The 21,482-nt window shown below is 38.1% G+C and overlaps 1 protein-coding gene across 3 annotated transcripts in view; it reads right to left on the reverse strand.

The window, feature by feature from the left end:
* Window positions 1-6,024: 6,024 nt before the first annotated feature.
* The window catches only part of PAPSS1 (3'-phosphoadenosine 5'-phosphosulfate synthase 1), a 106,569-nt gene continuing 91,111 nt past the window's right edge, over window positions 6,025-21,482 (reverse strand). For all 3 annotated transcript variants that reach the window (NM_005443.5, XM_011532401.2, XM_011532400.3), the window contains exon 12: window positions 6,025-6,746. In NM_005443.5, coding sequence (NP_005434.4) covers window positions 6,608-6,746 — 139 coding nt within the window. In that variant the 3' untranslated portion in view covers window positions 6,025-6,607. The remainder of the gene's footprint in view (window positions 6,747-21,482) is intronic.

A 21,482-nucleotide genomic window follows, 5' to 3' on the forward strand; every position in this document is an offset into this window, starting at 1 on the left:
GGAGGACAAGAGCAGTTATCTTCTTGGGGAGAACACATGATTCTCAGACTGGATAAGCCAAGGTGAAGGGAAGCAGAGAAGACATTGGTCTTCTTATTTCAGTATAGATGTTTTCCCCTTCTTAATAAAGACCATTATAGATGCCCAGTGCTGGTACAGGTCCGGGAGATAAAAGTTCATGATGAAACTTTCCATGCTTCTTATTTCAGTTCCTTAAATCTAGGCCCTAAAGTCTGGTGCCATTTCCCTTGGGAATCATGGGGAGCAGAAAGTGGGGATAAGGCTTCAGTCTTACCGTGCCTCTGCTCAGTTGTAGTCCTCAAATGCATATCATTAAGGGAGGCCAGATTTTAGCTCAGTCTAGAAAAAGACTGACTGAGAGTTAGGTGGGCAGGGTATTTTTTGCACAACTTATATATAATTATATTCAATATAATTCCACAGTCTTATTCCACAAGACTGTGTGGAATAGAAAATGCGATCCTGCAGAAATACAACCAAAAAGGCTTGCAGGCCTTCTAAGAAATACACTCCACACATAAAAGAAGCCCAGTGGGCAAATACCTCCTTACTTTGCAAGCCAACCCACTCCTGGATGTATATGTGCTGATAAGGATATATCATATGTGGGAAGCATGACTTCGGAATTTTCCCTGATAAAGAATTTGAATGCTGACTTCCAAGAGAAAGACATAATTGTTCCCCTCTTGGACGGAAATGGAACTCAAATATGTGGTCTTGGTTATCATAGTGAAATAGAGAAGTGACAGATTTCAAACACTGTATTTCTGCCAAGATGATTGCACTTTTCCTTCTTCCTTTAAAAAAATGTATTTTTTCATTCACTTTTCCAGCTAATGGATAGATAAAAATGGCACTAGATTTCCAAGACCACTTGACAGGAGAGGTTTGATATGAGGGTTGAATGTTTTAAACATTGGTTTGAGCTCATTTTTATGAACTGGGAAGAGGAAAAATGAAATTTCTGCATATATTAGATTTGTAAAGACTCAAATACCAACCTGTGAACTGGTGGAAATCATTGGTTGCTTTTATTTTCTTTTCTGTCTGGAACATACAAGTGGGTGACTTACCCCACGGACACAGGAGTCTGGAGTCATGTTCTCACCATGTCCCCCTCTGGTGAGCTGGAGGCAGGAGGTCACAGAGGGGACTAGACTAACGACAATGGCCTGATAGAACACATGGTTACTTTCTAGACCATATTTCACCCCAGTGCTGTTAATTTCTCATCTTCTCATTCTCACCTTAATAAGTATATTGGTGTAGTCTTGAAAGGATGCTGTTTCTTGACTGCCAAGTATTTTTTAAAATGTCTATTCCCCCACTGTATGTTTAGCTTTTAAAATACACTGTTGACAGTAAAAATCATCTAGAGATTTGGCAGTATCAAGAATTTTATGAAAAATACACTTTTTTTCACGTGCCACCTGTCATGGTCAGGGTTCTTGGTAGCAAATGATAGAAACTTACTCCAGATAATTTAGGAGTCTCTGTGGTACCCTTCAGTCTTTGTAGAGAATTTATGGGAAGGCTACTGGGTATTTTACAGAATTGATGAAAAATGCAAAAGAATGAGGTTTAGAAAGTGGTTCAAGAATGAAAGTAAGTTGGTAGTAGAGGACCCAGCCAAGGTTATGTCCCTGGAATATTCTAGATAGGACAGCACTTCTACACGAGACCCCACCTCCATGGGTGCCATCTCCACTAGACAATTGCTGCCTCCAGAATCCCAGCTCTGTCCTTGCCACCACGAACTCACAATGCATTGTCTCTAGAACTTTGCATCTGTTTCTACACGTTCAACTCTGGTGGGAGTTTTTGAATTAGTGGAGTTAAGGCGTGATGTCACACTCTGTTTGTGGTTGGAGGAGTATCTGTGGTACCCTTCAGTCTTTGTAGACTTAAATAAAGGAGTTATTCCTCAATAGTGAGATCTAAATAATGTGGAGCAAAAAATATGTGTGTATATGCTTATCAACTACTACCTCTAATTTTTCCCCAACACATCCATATGCCACTCTGTACCACTCCCTAATGAATATTTTTATTCACAATCCACTTACCCATATTCTCCATTTATTCTGTTTATCAATTTTCTCACTAATGATTCCACGATCCACTTTTTTTGCATTTTTCCTTCTATTTCTTTTCCTAGTGGTATTTTGTTTCCATTTGCCTGAATGCCAGTACAAAACTTCCATGTATAATCTGCTATCCCTTTATAAATGATGAATCTTCAAGGCCAGATCACAAAAGATTATTTCATCATAGAAAGTATGATCATAAAAAGCTGATCTCAGCCAGAATTCTATACCCAGTTCCTGCATCTTTACTTGAAGATCCTATTTGATATTCTACAAATGCAAATATTCTACAAGAGCCAACTTGATAGGCTGCCCCATCCTCCACACCCCCAAGAACAGACTAACTGGAATCCTCCTATCTCCATCTACCTTGTCTCCATTACCAGTGCTACCATCCATCCATTTGTCTCATCCAAATCAGGAATTTGAAGGTCCGTGCAAGTTCTCCTTTCTTCTCCACCTCTACATCCAGAGAATCAAACAACTCTGTCAGTTCTACCACATAAATATTTCTTGATTCTGCCCTGTTCTCTCATCTGTCCCTATTGCCATTGGACTAAGTCAGGCTCTCATTTTATCTTAAGTGAAGGGCCCTGGTTATTCCCTCTGCCTCATTTCTCACTGCTTCCCACACTTGGCATTTTTCACCCAAACTGTATCCAAGGCACTTACAGTCTCTGAAATATGTCCAACTATTTTATGTATTTCTGTTTGCTAGGAGTATGTTTTCCCACCTTTTCTACTCAGAAAACAAGTGCTCATGATATAAAACTGAACTCAGAGTTCACCTCTGCTGTGAAGCATTTCTTACCTCCTCTCACCTCCTATCTCTACTGCCATCCCCTATATCTAGTTTATTCCTTCCTCTGTTCCATCACTATTCAATCATACAGTATTCTATCTACTATTACCCCTTTTAACACTGAACTACAATTGCTGGTGTGTATGATTACAAGCTCCTTGAGAAATGATATGGTTTTGGCTCTGTGCCCCCACCCAAATCTCATCTTGAATTGTACTTCCATAATTCCCATATGTTGTGGGAGGGACCCAGTGGGAAATAATTTGAATCATGGGGGCAGTTTCCCCTGTACTATTCTCATGGTAGTGAATAAGTCTCATGAGGTCTAGTGGTTTTATCAGGGGTTTCTGTTTTTGCATCTTCCTCATTTTCTCTTACTGCCACCATGTAAGAAGTGCCTTTTGCCTCCCACTGTAATTCTGAGGCCTCCCCAGCCATGTGGAACTGTAAGTCCAATTAAACCTTTTTCTTCCCAGTCTTGGGTATATCTTTATCAGCCGCATGAAAACAGACTAATACAGTAAATTGGTACCGAGAGTGGGTGTTGCGGAAAAGATATCCAAAAATTAGGATGCGACTTTGGAACTGGGTAACAGGCAGAGGTTGAACAGTTTGGATGGCTCAGAAGAAGACATCAAAATGTGGGAAAGTTTAGAACCTCTTAGAGACTTGTTGATTGGCTTTGACAAAAATGCTGATACTGATAAGGTCCAGGCTAAGGTGGTCTCAGATAGAGACGAGGAACTTGTTGGGAACTGGAGCAAAGGTGACTCTTGTTATGTTTTAGCAAAGAGACTAGTGACATTTTGCCCCTACTCTAGAGATCTGTGGAACTTTGAACTTGAGAGAGATGATTTAGGGTATCTGAAGGAAGAAATTTCTAAGCAGCAAAGCATTCAAGAGATGACTTGGGTGCTAAGAGCATTTCATTTTAAAAGGAAAACAGAGCATAAAAGGAAAATTTGCAGCCTGATGATGCAGTAGAAAAGAAAAACGCATTTTTTGAGGACAAATGCAAGCTGGCTGCAGAAATTTGCGTAAGTAACGAGGAGCTGAATGTTCATCCCCAAGACAATGGGGAAAATAACTCCAGCCATGTCAGAAACCTTCATGGCAGGACCTCCCATCACAGGCCTGGAGGCCCCGGAGGAAGTGGTTTTGTGGCCCGGGCATAGGGTCCCTATGCTATGTGCTGCCTAGGGACTTGGTGTCTTGTGTCCCAGCCACTCCAGCCATTGCTAAAAGGGGCCAAGGTACAGCTCAGCCCATGGTTTCAGAGGATGCAAGCCCCAAACCTTGGCAGCCTCCACATGGTGTTGAGCCTGTGGGTGCACAGTAGTCAAGAATCAAGGTTTGGGAACCTCCACCTAGATTTCAGAAGATGTATGGAAACGCCTGGATGGCCAGGCAAAAGTTTGCTGCAGAAGTGGGGTCCTCATGGAGAACCTCTGCTAGGGCAGTGTGGAAGCAAAATGTGGGGTGGCAGCCCCCCAACCGAGTCCCTACTGGGGCACTGCCTAGTGGAGCTGTGAGTAGAGGGCCACTGTCCTCCAGACCCCAGAATGGTAGATCCACCGCCAGCCTGCACTGTGCACCTGGAAAACCCACACTCTTAATGCCAGCCAGTGAAAGAAGCCAGGTGGGGGCTATACCTTGCAAAGTCACAGGGGCAGATCTGCCCAAGATTATGGGAAACTACTTCTTGCATCAGCGTGACCTGGAGTCAAAGAAGATAATTTTGGAGCTTTAAAATTTGACTGCCCCACTGGATTTCGGACTTGCATGGGCCCTGTAACCCCTTTGTTTTGGCCAATTTCTCCCATTTGGGATGGCTGTATTTACCCAATACCTGTACCCCCATTGTATCTGGGAATAACTAGCTTGTTTTTGATTTTACAGGCTCATAGGTGAAAGGAACTTGCCTTGTCTCAGATGAGACTTTGGACTGTGGACTTTTGGGTTAATGTTGAAATGAGTTAAGTCTTAGGGGACTGTTGAAAAGGCATGATTGGTTTTGAAATGTGAGGACATGAGATTTGGAGGGGCCGGGGCAGAATGATATGGTTTGGCTCTGTGTCCCCACCCAAATCTCATCTTGAATTGTACCCATAATTCCCACGTGTCGTGGGAGGGACCTGGTGGGAGACAATTTAAATCATGGGGGCAGTTTCCCCCATACTGTTCTCATGGTAGTGAATAAGTCTCATGAGATCTGACGGTTTTATCAGGGGTTTCCACTTTTGCATGTTCCTCATTTTCTCTTGCTGCCAACCATGTAAGAAGTGCCTTTCACCTCCCACCATGATTCTGGGGCTTCCCCAGCCATGTGGAACTTTAAGTCCAATTAAACCTGTTTTCCTTCCCAGTCTCAAGTATGTCTTTATCAGCAGCGTGAAAACGGACCAATACAAGAAATGCATCCCTATTCCCCACTTCCAAATACAGAGAACAGAATGACAACTTTGGTACTTACTCACAACTCATGGTCACCAATATTCCCAGTCTACTTGCCTTCCTATACCCACAGAAGTCTGCATTTCCTAACCCTCCTTACATTTGAGTGGGGCCGTGTGACCTGTTTTGCCCAATGAACCAGCAGGTGATGTGTGTTACTTCTGATTCAAAACACTGAAGAGTTGGTGTGTAATTTGTATGCTCTTTCCCTCTAAAACCTCTTTTTGACATAGGAACATAAGGTGGGAGAACTTCACCCTGAATGACTAAGGTGAACAGAATGTCAACCTGTATGGATCAAATGGCACAAATTTAGAGATGTGTTTCTACAGCATAAGCTAGTTTTTCCTAACTAAAGCAGTATGTACCCATCTATGTTCCAAATCCTTGGAAATTGTTATACAGGTGTTTTAAGAATATTAGAGAAATATTCAAAGAAACTTTTTTTTGGATGGACTAAGAATGCCTTATTATTTTCCCACATAAAATAATGGAACACAGTCTCCTGCTATCAAAAATTTCACTGTAATACAGTATTAGAAACTAAGTATTGGATTCCAGTAATAAAAGATGCCTGCGTTTTCCCTCTTCCATCAGAAACTTTTTCACAAGGAGGAAAGGGTATACGGAAACAAAGCAATATAAAATAGATCACATAAATAAGAAGCCAAAAAATTAATTTTATTGAGTAAAGAAGTTCATTCAGAGCTTACACAGATCATAAGAATACTTTAGATTATAACAGCTGGAAAGACCAATAGCTGACTGGAAAGAAGAAAGGAAGCAGTTTCTATTTTCAATGTAGAAAAAAAATCTAATCGCTACAAAGGTCTTGTAAAATCCTCAAAACAAGGTCTAGCCAAGTTTATTGTTTGGTAATTTTTTTCTTTTTTTAAGGGGAAAAAAAGCAAGATTTAATGTGAATACTACTGGTTACAACTAATATAACAGCTTGAAAAAATCATGACACAGAAGCATAAATATAATATAAAAAGACAATTTTAAAATTGTATTGTAGGAATATAACTATAATAAGTGGAAAAGATACATTAAAACCATCAGTGTGTTACACTTGTTCAAAACAGAACTCATAAGGCAGACCAAAACTGATGCAAGTTAAGGAAAATGGTCTGTTTTTAGGAAGCATGTCCAGACAGACACCACAAAGAAATGCCAACAGAGACTATGTGGTCCCCTCTTGTTACTAGTAATGTGTCAAAGGTGGAGTGACTGGGTTAACAGCCTAAGCTTTCTCCAAGGATTTGTAGTATTCTGTCAGCACGGTCCAAGCCTTGGGAGCCATGAAACCTTCAGGTGGTTTCTGGCCTTCTCGAGCAAGTTTGCGCATTCGTGTTCCTGAAATAAATTCAAAGTCTTCATGGCTAAAGGAGAGGAAAAAAAGAAAATTATTTCATAATTTTAGAAACTTAGATTTTTAAAAAGCATTTGTTCCTTCTGTTCATATTAGACAAACTTAATGAAAAAAAAATACTGAACATAGTACTTGTGAATATAAATCTCATTTCAAATTTGTCACTGAACAAAAAACCACTATTGAATATTACCAATTTTTAGAACCAGAAAAAAATTAGTTTTGAAATTTTTATTGAGACCATTGTAGAGTCACATGAAATTGTAAGAAATAATATAGCCAGTCACCATTGTACCCTTTATCCAGTTTCCTCCCAAAGGTAACATCTTGCAAAATTATAGCATATCACAGCCAGGATTATCAGTGTGGAAACAATCTACCAATCTTACTCAGACTTTCCTAATTTACTTGTACTAATTTCTCTTATGCACTTAATACTATACTACTTTATCACATGTGTAGGTTCATGTAGCTGTCACAGAACACTTCCAAAACCACACCCATCTCACGGGTTGCCCTTTTATAGTCATACCTGCATTGCCCCTCTGCCCTCTACTCCCCAGCTCCTGGCAACCACTAATCTAAAACTAGATTTTTTTTTTTTCAAGAAAACACTAAATCTAATTTAACTAGCATAAATTGAAAACTTTTAAAGAAGTTTCAATCTGAAAGGCTAAATTAATACTGGAATATTAAGAGTAAAATTGAATTTTTTTTCTTCTGGAACAGCAAGTAGCAATAATCAATACTACTTAATTGACAAGACACAACAGAGGTAGTGTTGATAGTTTTTCTCATCTTCACACATACAAAAACACACAAAAGCCCTCAAACCAGTAAGCACAGAGCACGTATAGCTATGGCATATATTGCTTACCTTAAATTCATCCATCCTCGTCTCTCAAACATGGGAACCAACCTAGATGGCCAACTAGGACTCAGCAAGCATTCAGAGTCGCTCAGGTCACCAGATCACGAGCCTGTTTACTTCTAGTTGGCAGTTCTATGTTCCTTCCTCTCTTCATTATTTATAGACTTAACCTGAAAACCTGGTGCAATCATAAACTACCAAGTGGCCCTGGCTTCTGGAGGTATGCCAAGTATGTTTTAACTAATAATCACACTTCTACAAACCTAGAAGGAAATAATTAGAGGCAGACAAATATTATGCCTAAGACAGCTATATGAAAGTCATTTTACAACAGCAAAATACTATAAATAACCTAAAGGCCGAAAGATCCTAAATAAGTTACAGTATAGTCCTGAGTCGAATATTACATAGTCATTAAAGTACGGATGGGATAAGATGCTCATGATGTGATTAATGATAAATAAAATAACCAGGACACAAAACTATATACAAACATTGCTATGAACTTATAGGTAAAACCTTAGGGAAGTAATTAGAATTAAATGAGGCCAAAAGGGTGGGCCCCCTATGATGGGATTAATCCCCTTATAAGAAAAGAAAGAGACAGGAGATTCTTGCTCTTTCCTCTACATAAGGACACAGCAAGAAGGCAGCCATCCACAACCAGGAAAAAGGGTCCTCACCAGACACCGCATCTGCTGGCACCTTGATCTTGGACTTCCCAACCTCTAGAACTGTGAGAAATAAATGTTTGTCATCTAAGCCTTCCAGGCTGTGGTATTTTTTATAGCAGCCTGAACTCAGACAAATATCACTGCTATTTTTAGAAAATAGAGAGAGAGAGAGAGAGAGTGTGTGTGCACATAAAGAAATATGCCCTATGTAGTCATTGTTGGGGTTAAAAAAAAAAGAAGAAATATGCCCAAATGTTAACAGTGGTTATTTCTAGGAAGTGGTCTTACAAGTGCTTTTTATTTTATTCATGTTTTCTGCAGTTTTCTACAATGATCATTTCATCAATTATCAATATTATCAAAATCAAATGAGAATGTCAATTATTATAATTTTATAATGAGTAAAAACTCATTTTAAAAATCTCTATCCAAAGTGATCATTCTGGCCTCATAACAATTATAATGGCTATTAACACACCTGTAAATGACAGACATTAGCAGTAAAAAATACATCTGAATGGTGCTAGGGACACCAAATATATTCAATAAATATTAACTGACCAGTGATAAGGTGGTTTATTATCTAACTAGGAGCTCAGTAAATATTTGGTGAAATATGAAAGGATAAATAGGTACATGTAAAGGAAAATGTATTGGTTCAATATAGCACCATTCATAGACCTTAATAAGTGACTTTATACTGTGGCAAAAAGGGGAATTTAGCTTTACTGAATACTGTGGTCAATTTGTGCTACTACTTTGTTTTTTGAAAGATATTTATTCAAATGTAACAAATTAAGAATGGGTCTTAGAAGTGGGTGGCAGAGGGTCATAAGACAAAAAACTAACATGCATTAAGATGGGATAGGAGTGTTGATATAAATAAGTGAACACATAAATACATAATATAAGAAATGTTAGTTACTGAAGTTTGGGCTACTTCTACATTCCCTTTTATCTAAATCTGGACTATTCATATTAGAAGTTTCAGCATGCCCTTCATAATGATCTCATCAATAATCCTCTTCAGATCTGTCTTCTCTCTGACCTCACTCACCTCCACACTAGTCAGCTTTCCACCATCTTCCTTATCACAGTTCACTGAGTCTAGCTATGAGCTTGTGGGCTATCCACTCACTAGGGTGGGCTCTAGAACATGAAAGAAGTGTTATGATTTCCTTAGTGATCTAGGTGGTATATCAAGCTTCTGGTTTCCTCTGTTTGATGTTTGTTATCTGTGTGCTCAATGACTCAACTGCTCACAGGGTTTATATGAGTCTTCGGCTTTTTTTTTTTTTTTTTCACCACCGGCCTCCAAGCATCTCCTGTACCTGACCTACCCCTCTGCCTGACCACTGCTGTCAGTTCTTACAATCAACTTGACACTTGGTTCCCGGTCTAGTTCTACCTCTTAGATTCACTGTTAGCTCCAATTCTGGCCTTTCCAACTTCCCAGTGAGGAACCAGGATTTTAACAAATGTTCCACTCCCCTTTGAAACATGTCTAAGAGTTTTACTCTGGAATGCTATACATATATGATATGAATATAAACTAGTGTGACTCATTTAATCAGTCACAAGAAAAATCAATGTCAGTGTTTTATAATCTCATTTCTAACTATTAAGCAGAAAGGTACTACTACTTTAATTCAGATATGTGACATCCTCCCCTAGTCATCCTGTCTATTCTTCCTACTCCCTGCATTACCAGGAAGATAGACATACACATTCAACTCAGTATTTCAACTCTCATCTTCTTAGGTAAAACACATTTTACATGTCTACACCAAATTATTAAAGATGATGGATAAAAAGGAAAGATTAACAGATATTGCTTCAAAATAAGATGGTTTGATTCAGAGAGTTTATAAATGTAGGGAGTATCTCCCACCTCTATCATATTCAATGTGCAAGAAATGTCAAGTCGACCATGATATACGGGTCCATGCAGATGAGCTGGTTACTATAGTTCAAAATAAAGTAAACTATCATCTTTATATTACATAAAGGACTATGACTTAAGGGGAAAAAAACAAAGTTACTGCATGTGAAATGAGCCTAGAAAAATAAGCAAGGCTATGAGAGAAGAGATTTCAAAAACAATCAGGAGAGCTGGAGTTAGAAACAATTTGTAAGTTTATCAAAACTAAAATAAAAACTGAGTTTGAGAAAATGGAGAAGCTCTCCAAAGAAAGAAAACTCACCAAAAGGCAAAACATTTGTCAAAAAGGTAGAAAGAGAACCAAGATGATTATATGTAGTCATGGAAGAAGGGAAACTTAAAAATGGAAAGGCCACAGAGGGCTTAGGAAGATGACCACAGTAGGGAACAAAACACTGAGTTGACAAATCAGAATTTAAATCTTCCTTAATAGAAGAGTTTTAATAGATGATAAAAGAAAGAGATAGAGCAGTGAAATGGCAGAGATACACAATGGAGTTGAGATGTGATTTTTTTTTTTTTTTAAGGAAACGAGAGAAGGCTTACCAAGTTATATAGGCAGGAGAAAATAAGTGGCAAGAATGAGAAAGGGGAGGAGGATGAGTGCCAGGAGAAGAAACAAGAGAAACATAAGATGGAGAAGGAAGCCCAGGATGAAGACACAGGGAGAGGGGCTTTGACAAGGAGGAGGGTCAGGAGTGATGAAAAGAGGAAACAGAAGGTGGTGGGGGAGTGGAGAGAGACAGAAATGATTTGGTGTTAGAAAAAGATGTGGTGGTTAATGCAAAATGGTCTTAATTTTCTCAATAAAGATGTCAGGTTGCCTTCTGAGGGTGTGGAGAATCTGCATGTGAATGAATATATAAAATAATCCATCCATGCAGTTAGTTGACTTTATCTCCAGGCCAGAGAGGTTACATCTCAGGACAAGACTTAGCAAGCAGAGCCTAGACAGGAAGCTAAGGGAGTTGACTAGTTATGGAGGGGGTCCAGATAGCTTTCCAACTATATCCAAAAATGCTTGCTCTAACCAGATGTAAAATTAAAAACTGGTTTGGTCAATAATAATTTGACAAAATACTGACTGAATGTGTTTCAGTTCCTTAGGAGGTCCACTTATTGGCTCCCTAAATAAGCTTCATTTTGAAAAATTATGATACTAGAACTTTCTGGTCATGTAAATCTTAAACTCTGGTTTCAAAAAAGAAAAACTTGTCACTTGCTTTATAAAGTGCTTGTTGTTGAAGGCAATGAAAAAGAAGACAGCAGCTTGCTAGATGACTCTGTCTAACTTTTTGGAAAAAAGCCAGACCAATTAAAGTCCTTTCTTTCCCCAGAATGCCAAACTGTCTGAAATCCAGAAGTTTGCTTGCATTCCTTCTGAAATTGCAATTTTAAACCAAGGTCCCTGGGTACCTCTTGTCCTGAAGCTATTTCACACTCCATCTGCCCTGCATGCCACAAGCATTTCTTCATCACACGGAATGGGAGTTTCCACTTCCACATAGTGGTGGTTCCACTCCACCCTGGCTACGGAAAACACATTTTCCTCCACCTCATACTTACATTTCCATCTCTGTCACATAAGGATTTTAACTTTTTATCAGAATGTAGGTTCAAGGAGTGGACACAAGAGTCACCAAAATCAAATCATATTTTTCACAAGTACATCTTCAAATGGACATTATTTTACAGAAATAACTAAATTTAAAAAAAAACTGAAGAATTTCTGGAATGGGCTAAAATTATCTCTGAACTTCACCTGTGAGTAATCAGGAATCTGCCAGTAGCAGGAAAGGCTAATAAATAAGGGACCTTAGGTTTTCACTACAAATAAATTCTAATTTGGGCCATTTCACTACATTAGTTAACCAATCTTCTATGGCACTGGAAAAAGAAATACAAGTATGTTTGCTTTTTTTCCTTTTCAAAACCACTTGGTTACAGATTCTTATAATCTACAGCAGACAGAATGCTAGCTCTTAAAACAAAAGAGAAGAGGTTAGAACAGCAAGGAGGGGAAAAAAACCCGAAATGAGCAGAATATGTGAAACCCTTCATAACATACTAACCACATGTGGCCAGCATCTTGACTAACTCCAAAGTAGAGATGACTCTCGGCCACTTGTTGAAGATTTTAAATCTTTACAACCATCTGCTGTTTCTCACTCCACATACATGGCCATCAGAGCCACCATTACAAGTTGCTCACATGGACAAGAGCTGGGGTCAGCAGATGGCCCTTCAAGTATATCTTTTGAAGGTTCATATTCGATTAGACCAGCTTTTTAAAAGTGCTAACTAGGCAACAAGCAATTCAGAGAAGCAAAAGGGAATTTCTTCTTTGATAGGACGAAAAATAATAGTGGTAACTTATAAGTGAATCTGTTTTGAGTCTAACTTGAAAGCGGGTTACATCAAACATAGTATACATCAAAACATTAAGCATTCTTAAGACTGGGATTAAAAATTCTCTTCAAAATCAGATAAACATTTATGGCTATCTTTTTAGGAATTTAAGCACTGTTTGACATCATACATGACAAACTTAACAATTTTTATTTTCAAACCAAAGACCAATTGAAAGACATGAAAAATTGAATTATCTAAAATCTAATTAATAAAAGCCATTCATTTGTCATGTTTTCCTCCCAGCACTCCAGTCTTTTAAATAAAGGCTAGAGTGTGGCACCTATTAAATATTCAGCCAAATAATGGACTTCCAGGGCTGTCCTAAAGTGTACTGGAAAATCAACTCAATTTCTCAACAGAGATGATTTTTGCCATCCTCTTCCCCCTCCCCAGGGCAAACATCCTATAATGCATAGGACAGCCTCTCCAGAACAAAGAATTATCTGGCCCAAAAGGCCAATACTCCTGAGATTGAGAAACCCTGCTAATGGGTATATTAAGAAAGAAAGACAGATTGAGTTGATAGTTTTATAAAATGTAAATTTCACTCTCACCCTAAAGGGGCAGAAAAGAAAAAAGAGATCTCAAAGTCACAGGAAAAAAGAAAAGCAGGTAACAGAACAAAACATCACTATATAAGACATATAGCTTTACAGTTATTTCCTCCTAGACCTCTTTACAGTAAGAAAGAAGGTCAATGACTAGACACAGCTCAGGTCTACAGCCTAACGGAACATCATGGCCAGATCTCAGTGGCATCTGATGGTACAGATACAGAAAAACTATACTCTGTGTTTTTAAGAGGAGTGGGAAGAAATGGGACAAGGAGATCGATGCTACCTGCCCCCAGTGATACCTAAGGACATGAGTGTGCTGTGAGGAAGCCTCTTCCAGAGTAGGGGGGAGCCTTCATAAACTTCTTTATTCAACTGCAACCAGTGAGATTTATGGCATAGTATGGTACCAGATACTGACAAAGAGCCATTAAAATGATAACAAAGAACTTCTAGTAGCATGGAACGATGCTCATGAAAAGTAAATTAAAAAGCAGGACACAAAACTCTATTATATTATAAACTCAACTGCGTACAACTGTGTTAGATTAATGTATAAAGAGAATAAAAGCAAACCACACAAAAAGTATTGGTGACATAGGTGTTAATTTTCTCTTTTTAAATGCTCTCGTAATTTTTCTCAAACATATTTTCAATTGGTTGACCTCTTAGGGGGCACTTACTCCATTTACCCCTTATTCACCCAAGAATGCATCAAAATCAGGGCACCCTAGTTAGCCACAAAGAAGAAACTTTCTAGGAAGACAGGTTTTTTATCTTTTTTTTTTTTTTTTTTTTTTTTTTTTTTGAGAAGGAGTCTTGCTCTGTCACCCAGGCTGGAGTGCAGTGGCACGATATCAGCTCACTGCAAGCTCCACCTCCCAGGTTCACGCCATTCTCCTGCCTCAGCCTCCCGAGTAGCTGGGACTACAGGTGCCTGCCACCACGCCTGGCTAATTTTTTTTTTGTATTTTTTTTTAGTAGAGACGGGGTTTCACCGTGTTAGCCAGGATGGTCTTGATCTCCTGACCTCGTAATCCACCCGCCTGAGCCTCCCAAAGTGCTGGGATTATAGGCGTGAGCCACCGCGCCCAGCCGGAAGACAGGTTTTTCAGAGTGAGCACAAATGGCTGGGACCTATTTTTCTTCCACTGGAGGACATCAAGGGCACTTGTATGGGGAGACCTGGACTGCTCTACATATGCATTAGGGAAAATACTCATTCAGGAACTGTCTCATTTGCTCTTTTTACTTTTTCTCTGGTACTGATACTTTACAAGAGTGGTCAAACCCCATCAGGGCTTTAGAGAAAGAGAAAATGACCTTTGTCCTGCTTTGGGTTCAAAGCTACTTTGGCTTCCTGGCATTAAAAAAAATGTCTTCAACGTAGTCGATTCCAGCTCACTAGAATTCCACACTGGGGGCAAAGCCCAAGAGTACTGCTCTGTCTTCAATTGCTGTTTACTGCTCCATGCATATCTCCCCTTCCCCCTCCCTTCTTTCTCCCAGATACTATAGTTGACTAAGAGCAGCATATAGGTATTGCTGGGTTTTATACCAAAAATACCATAATAACATCTCTTTAATGGTGTCTTATCTATCATTCCTAGTATCAACCACTAAGAGAAAAAAATCACTTTTATTTTATTTCCAGAAAATGTAAGCTTCTCACCTCCCTACAATGGTTTCAAAAGAGGGGCTTATGAAAAGATAAAACAAATAATGCATATTTCCATGTCATCTGTTGCATTACTGATTAAAGAAAGTTTGCCATAAAAACTAGGTAGAATGTATCATCTTCTATTGTTGAATAATATTCTAAAGGGAGCAAAATACACAAAATCTTTTATTAACTGCTTTACGAAATGTAGAAGCAGACTCTTGCCATCAGAACACTTTTGGAATCAAAATATTTGCTGTTACAGAAAATTTAAATTGTACACAATAATGATGGTGTGTGAAACACGAACCCTTCACTAATTCCATCACACTTTTATACCTACAGTTCCTTCCATTAAAACTCTCTGCCCATTACCTGTGGAATTACAAAAGAGGATACTGAACTAAATTGGTTTTGTTTTGAAATGGGGGAGGTGAGTAGATTTATGTATTTGATAAGAAAAAGCAAAACAGCCTTCATTTAATATAACAATTATACTACAAGTCCTACTGACTGTGCCTCCTGAAGATGCTTTGAAGTCAAGCCACTTCCTCCAGTCTGCCCATTGCAACCCACCCATATGATACTGATACATGCCTACACACTGACCTCCCTGTCTTTCTCTTTTCTAAACTTTTGGGTCACTTTTATAACTTTTATGTTCCATGTGGATACTTTCACACTTGTCCTTGGTTTTACAAACACTACAAGTATACTGACTTTGTAATCTATATCTGGTAATTCTAACATGTGAAGTCTCTGCAGGTCTGCTTCTGCTGACTGTAGTTTCCATTTTTTTTCTTGCTTATGGTGCTTTGTTGCCTTGTATCCTTTGTCATTTTTGACTAAAACTGTTCATTAAGTATATATAAATATTTATAGGAGTAAGTCGAGACCTAGGACACTGATGTGCTGCTCTAGGAAGAGTTTATGTTTGCTTCTGCTGAATGCTTAGAGGCCTGCCTACTTAAGAACCACAAAAAACTAATTTCATGACTTGAGGGTTTTTTGTTTGTTTGTTTTAATATCACCCAGGTAATGTAAGTCTGGCCCATTTGAGCAGAGCTTTCAGCTTTCGAGCTTAAAGTAGAATGTCCTGCTCACAGTCTCCTAGAACAGGAGAAGGAACTGGGTTCATTTCAGGTTCTCCCTTACACTTAATTAAGGCAGCAGGGAGTCTCAACTGAATGGGAGTGTCTCCTGTTGGGCTCTCCACCTTGATCATGGGCAGAGTTGTATTTTCTATCCCCATCTACACTATGAGGCATTGAAAATCAATACTCTCAAGTTTGTTAGTTTTACCAGGGCAAAAGCAGCTTCAACGCTCAGCTTATGTGAATTTTCAGCATTCGCTTACTGGTTTTGGCCTCACAGTTCTTATCATCATCTTGTCAGATCCACAATACTTTTATGAAAATGTTTCATTTAATCCAGCATTTTTAATTTCTTCAGAAAGGCAATCTGTTAAATCTAACCTACCTCTTTACCAGAAACCCAAATTTTTTATAACCAATCCATACAGTCACACCACCATCTTTTAAAAATTCTTATCAACTCCAGCTCCTACCTTTCAAGAACTGCCTTATCTGGCTCCTGAATATCTCATCATCCTCCTTTGACTCTGTTCTACCTCACTCTGTTTAACCCTCTATGATCCTTCTCACCCAAGACCTTGACATGCACAGATCCTTTTGTCCAGAATACTATTATTCCCTTCTTCATCAAAGGAGTGCTGACTCATCTTTTGGAGCTTAGTGCAAACATCACTTACTCCAGGAACCTATCCCCGGTACCTCAGGCTTGGTCAAGCAAGTGCTAACTGCGTTTCCCACAGTCTTCTGCCAAGTACTTACCATCTTCAATTGTATGGTCAGTGGTTTACTATCTGTCTTCTTTCCTAGAATTTAAGTTCCATAAGGGCAATGACAATATCTGCCTGTTTCCAACTATAGTACCTACAACCTAGCAATGGCTTGCAAGCAAACTATTTGCAAATAGTAAAGACTCCATAAGAAATTAATAAATGAATAATGCAAAGTAAAGTCAAAGTTTTGTACTAATTTCAATAGAATATATTGACCTCAATACAAGATCCAGTATATATAAAATATATAATTTGATTTTCAAAAATATACATAGTTATACTATACCTAATTATAATTCAAATGCATACTAGAAGACAATATGATAGAGTTTAAATTAGGTCTTATCTATTAATGATCATGAAGCAACTCCCCACTATAAAGTATGTGCAAAATTAACAAATACAGGATGAGACTCATTGGTAAATTCACGCAGTTATAGTCAGACTCTACATGTATTCAGACGAAACATCAAAATTAATAAAAACAAGGCATTTTATGAATTAACAGAAAAGACAGTTTCCCAATACTCTAACAGAAATACTTGTGTATTGCAAAGACTGTGGCAAGAAAGGGAAAGGAAAGAATTCACACAAGAAACGTTTCAGTGGTCAACTTGATAAGACTCGGCTATGAAGAGTGAGGGAAAAGGATAAAGGACTTTAAGGTTCTATATAGTGCGAATAAGAAGTAACTAAAGAAATGTAGGATTTGGGGATATTATGAGGGTAAAGGTAAAGCTGGTTTTGGCCATTTTAAGAAATGGCTGAAGAAGAAATAAATTTAGAAAGAAATCAAAGAAGCAAGAAATCTAAGTAGAAATGTTCACTAGTGTGGCAGGCAGAATTCTAACATAGCCCCAATGACCTTTGTCCCCAGTGTTATTACCATCCTATGTTATTGCATGGCAAAAGAGATTTTGCAGATACAATTAAAGTTACTAATCAGTTGACCTTAAAACAGCAAAATTATCTGCGTGGCCCTAAGCTAATCACTCAAATTTTCCTGTCTTGTAGCAGAAGGGAAGTCAGAGAGATCTGAGGCATGACAGGGATGCAACATGAGGGAGGTTCTACTGCTGAGATGAAGCAGCCCACAAAAAAAGACCAAAAGTGGCCTCTAGGAGCAGACAGCAATGCTCAGCCAATAGCCAGTAAGAAGACAAGGACTTCAGTTCTGTAACTAGAAGGAACTGAACTCGGCTAATAACAGGGTTCAGTCTGACAGTGGATTCCTTTCAGAGCCTTCAGATAAGAACCCAACCTGGCCAGAGAACCCTGTCAAGCACACCCAGTCTTCTGACCTAAAGAACCATGCATGAGGTAATAAATGGGTGTTACTTTAAGTGGTGCTTTGTTACGCAACAACGAAAAACTAATACAACTGGGAAACACTGATGTACAGGTTTAAAAATCACCCCCACAGAAACCACAGGAACGGATGACCTCTCCCATGGAAAGTATATCTGAAAAAGCCTTGAAGGATGCCTACAGTTAGAGTGTTTTTTAAAAATGACACTAACAGTACATTATTTAAAGTATACTCTGGGCCGGGCGCGGTGGCTCATGCCTGTAATCCCAGCACTTTGGGAGGCCGAGGCAGGTGGATCACAAGGTCAGATCGAGACCATCCTGGCTAACACAGTGAAACCCCATCTCTACTAAAAATAAAAAAAAATAGCCGGGCGCGGTGGCAGGCGCTGGGAGTCCCAGCTACTCGAGAGGCTGAGGCAGGAGAATGGCGTGAAACAGGGAGGCAGAGCTTGCAGTGAGCCGAGATAGCACCACTGCACTCCAGCCTGGGCAAAAGAGTGAGACTCTGTCTCAAAAAAAAAAAAAAAAAGTATACTCTGGCATCAAAAACATGAAAGAAATACTCTACTGAAAATGTGGAAATAACCAGATAACAGGCATTTATGTCCACCTGCCCATTCATTTACCCATTTCCACAAGGCACTCTCACTCGTGTGTACTGTCTGCTTTTTGAGTTTACTATTTCACTAATCTGAATAATCCTGTATCTATCTACCCTAATATAAAGACTTACATTATAACAGAGGGGAAAAAATACAAATAAGATAACTGAATTACCTCTAAAAGTTTATTTGCAATTTCTGAAAGAATGGACTTTAATCTTGTAGTCCTAAAACTAAATTTCCTTTAGTGCCTATTATAACTAATTTGAACCTCCTTAACTTTCTAAATATAAACAGATGATTTTTATCATAATTCTTATCAACAACGTTTTGCCTGAAATCTTCATAAAGTTTGTTTCTTTTCTCCTAAGCATTGTCTTACATTGGTATTTAATCAAATAAAAAACAAAACAAATTCATTAATTACATAAAACCTGGCGCTGAGTAACATCCATTAATCAAACAAAAGACAACCTCATCTGTGCATAATTAATAACTGTTTTCTCACTACATCAAATGCTATCACCTTTCCACAAAATTTTAATCACTTTCCAACGTATTACCATCAACTTAATTATTTTTGAACACAAACACAAAAAGTTAGAAAACTAAGGCAGTTTTAAAGCTTCCCCAGTTATTACTTATTAAGATTTGGTAACCCCCAAAAAATTCCAAGAAAATGAGCCACTCATGCAACTAATATAGAATTCATCTTTGGAAAATCTTAAGAGAACTGATGTAATTATTTAGCTTTTGAATGATTAAAAGAGAGACTTAAAGCAATACTACACAGTTATTTAACCAAACATCAAAGTTACCAAAGGCTTACCAGCACATCAGTCAACTACATACAGATGGGGTTTAGGGTCCTGCGTGTGATTAAACCAACTGATCATGCAAAGAGACCACAGTAATGAAACATTTTGGCACAAGAAGTGTAAAAGAAAAGCTCAACTCTTTTTAGTTTGGTTTTCATAACTCATCAAAATGGAAATTCACCTAAGTTTTAAGCATTTAGCCATTAGCAGAATAATTTTATTTCCCTCTCCTTGCTCTCCCTTGCCACTATATTAGCAACTTAAGGAAGTTAATCCTAACGCTCAGAACAAGATTGTGTTCATAATCCCTTATACACAAACTAAATAAATCTCATGCTAGGTGAGAAGCAAAAGGTTTCTGGGCCCAGCATTTCACCTGACATTGTATGTTTTATAGATCTGTAGGAAGGCACTGCTACCCTTTTTTAGTGGTTTTAAAGTGGGGAGCTTTTAAAAGAACTACAAATTATAGGGCCTCTCCCCAGACTAAGTAAATTAGAATTTTTGACAATGGCCTACCATAAAAGGGCAGAACTGTACTCAAAACTTTTTTACTTCCCTTAATAATCAATTTATATTTTAAAGTTTTAATCACCTTTTGTGGTAAAGCAGTTCAAGGTTTACTACAATTTCTTTTTATTCTTTTTTTCTTAAAAAAATTTTAAGGCATCCTTTTGGTAGAAAAGGTCCATTGGTAGAAAAAATCCTTTTATAACTCTCAGCACACCGCTTTTACAGTTGCACTTTTTAGACAGTGAAATCGTACTAGGTGTACATATATAGTATATATACACATACATACAGATACATATTTCTTTTAAAGGCAAACAAAATCCCACATGATTTAGAACTTTTTCTAAATGTTTACAAACCTAATTTTGTACAAGGGTAAAAATGTTCTAGTTTGTTGCAAATTTTTCTTTTGGTGTGGTTCAGAAGTATACTAGAATCTGGGCCACATTTCAGATCTTCAGAAAATATAAACTAGAATATCTTCCGTCTTGAATTATATAGGGAATAGTCAGGAGTCCTTTTACACTTGCCTTTTCTGTTCATTCACTCTCATAAGACTTTCCTGCATTTTAGCTACAGTTCATCGCTCAGAAAAGTCTGCTGTCATCTAAAAGTATGCATTGTCTCCAGAATTATTTCTGTCATTAATGAGAAACCTAACATCTCCCAATCTCCACTGGTAATAATAGTATTTCTTTCTCCAGACAACTTATCATTTATTTCAAATAAATCAAATGACAACAAACTACATCCATTTTAGAAACAAGAGAATGTTGTTTTAATTTTTTAAAGGTTTCTTTTTCTCTTCTGTCCCCACTATTACAAAATGAGCCATAAAAATGAGGACACAGGGTCAGGGCTACATTATTCCTAAATGGGGAACCAACTATGAAGTATCATGGGAAAGGATGGCAGCTTTCAGACTAATGGTTACTAGGCCATAGTCAATTTCCAATTAGCACATGTCAGTAGAGCTGACACTGATAAAAATGTAAATTAAAAAAATTATCTGTTTTGCTTGTTGTATTATCTGTTTGCTTGCTGAATGTGGATTGTGATTTGTACTAAAAGAGCAGGTATACTAAATAAAGGTCAAGCACAAAACATTTCATATGTACAAGTACCTACTAAGGTGTAAAAATAACTAGGTGCTATAGATAATGCAAAGAGCTACACATTTTGGGCTAAGAGGGAATCACCCTGTCCACTGCCTTTATTCCAGAGACAAGGAAACAGGGCAGAGAAGACAGGACTCTCAAGTTATATAGCAAGGACAGGGCTATAACCCACAACTTCAGAGTTTACAGCTTCACACTACCACTTTAAACTTACAGAGTGTACTACCTATAGATGAAAGTTAATACAATTCTGTCAGTCAAAGAGAGACAGATACAAGGGGCCTCCAAAAGGTTCATGGAAAATGTTCATTATCAAAAACAACTATGCATGGATTTCCATTTTTCACCAAAATAAACTCACACTAACTGATTATAACATGTCTGAACAGGATCTAGTTTGAGGCACT

The sequence above is a fragment of the Homo sapiens genome, chromosome 4 (assembly GCF_000001405.40).
Source record: "Homo sapiens chromosome 4, GRCh38.p14 Primary Assembly".
Classification (NCBI taxonomy): domain Eukaryota; kingdom Metazoa; phylum Chordata; class Mammalia; order Primates; family Hominidae; genus Homo; species Homo sapiens.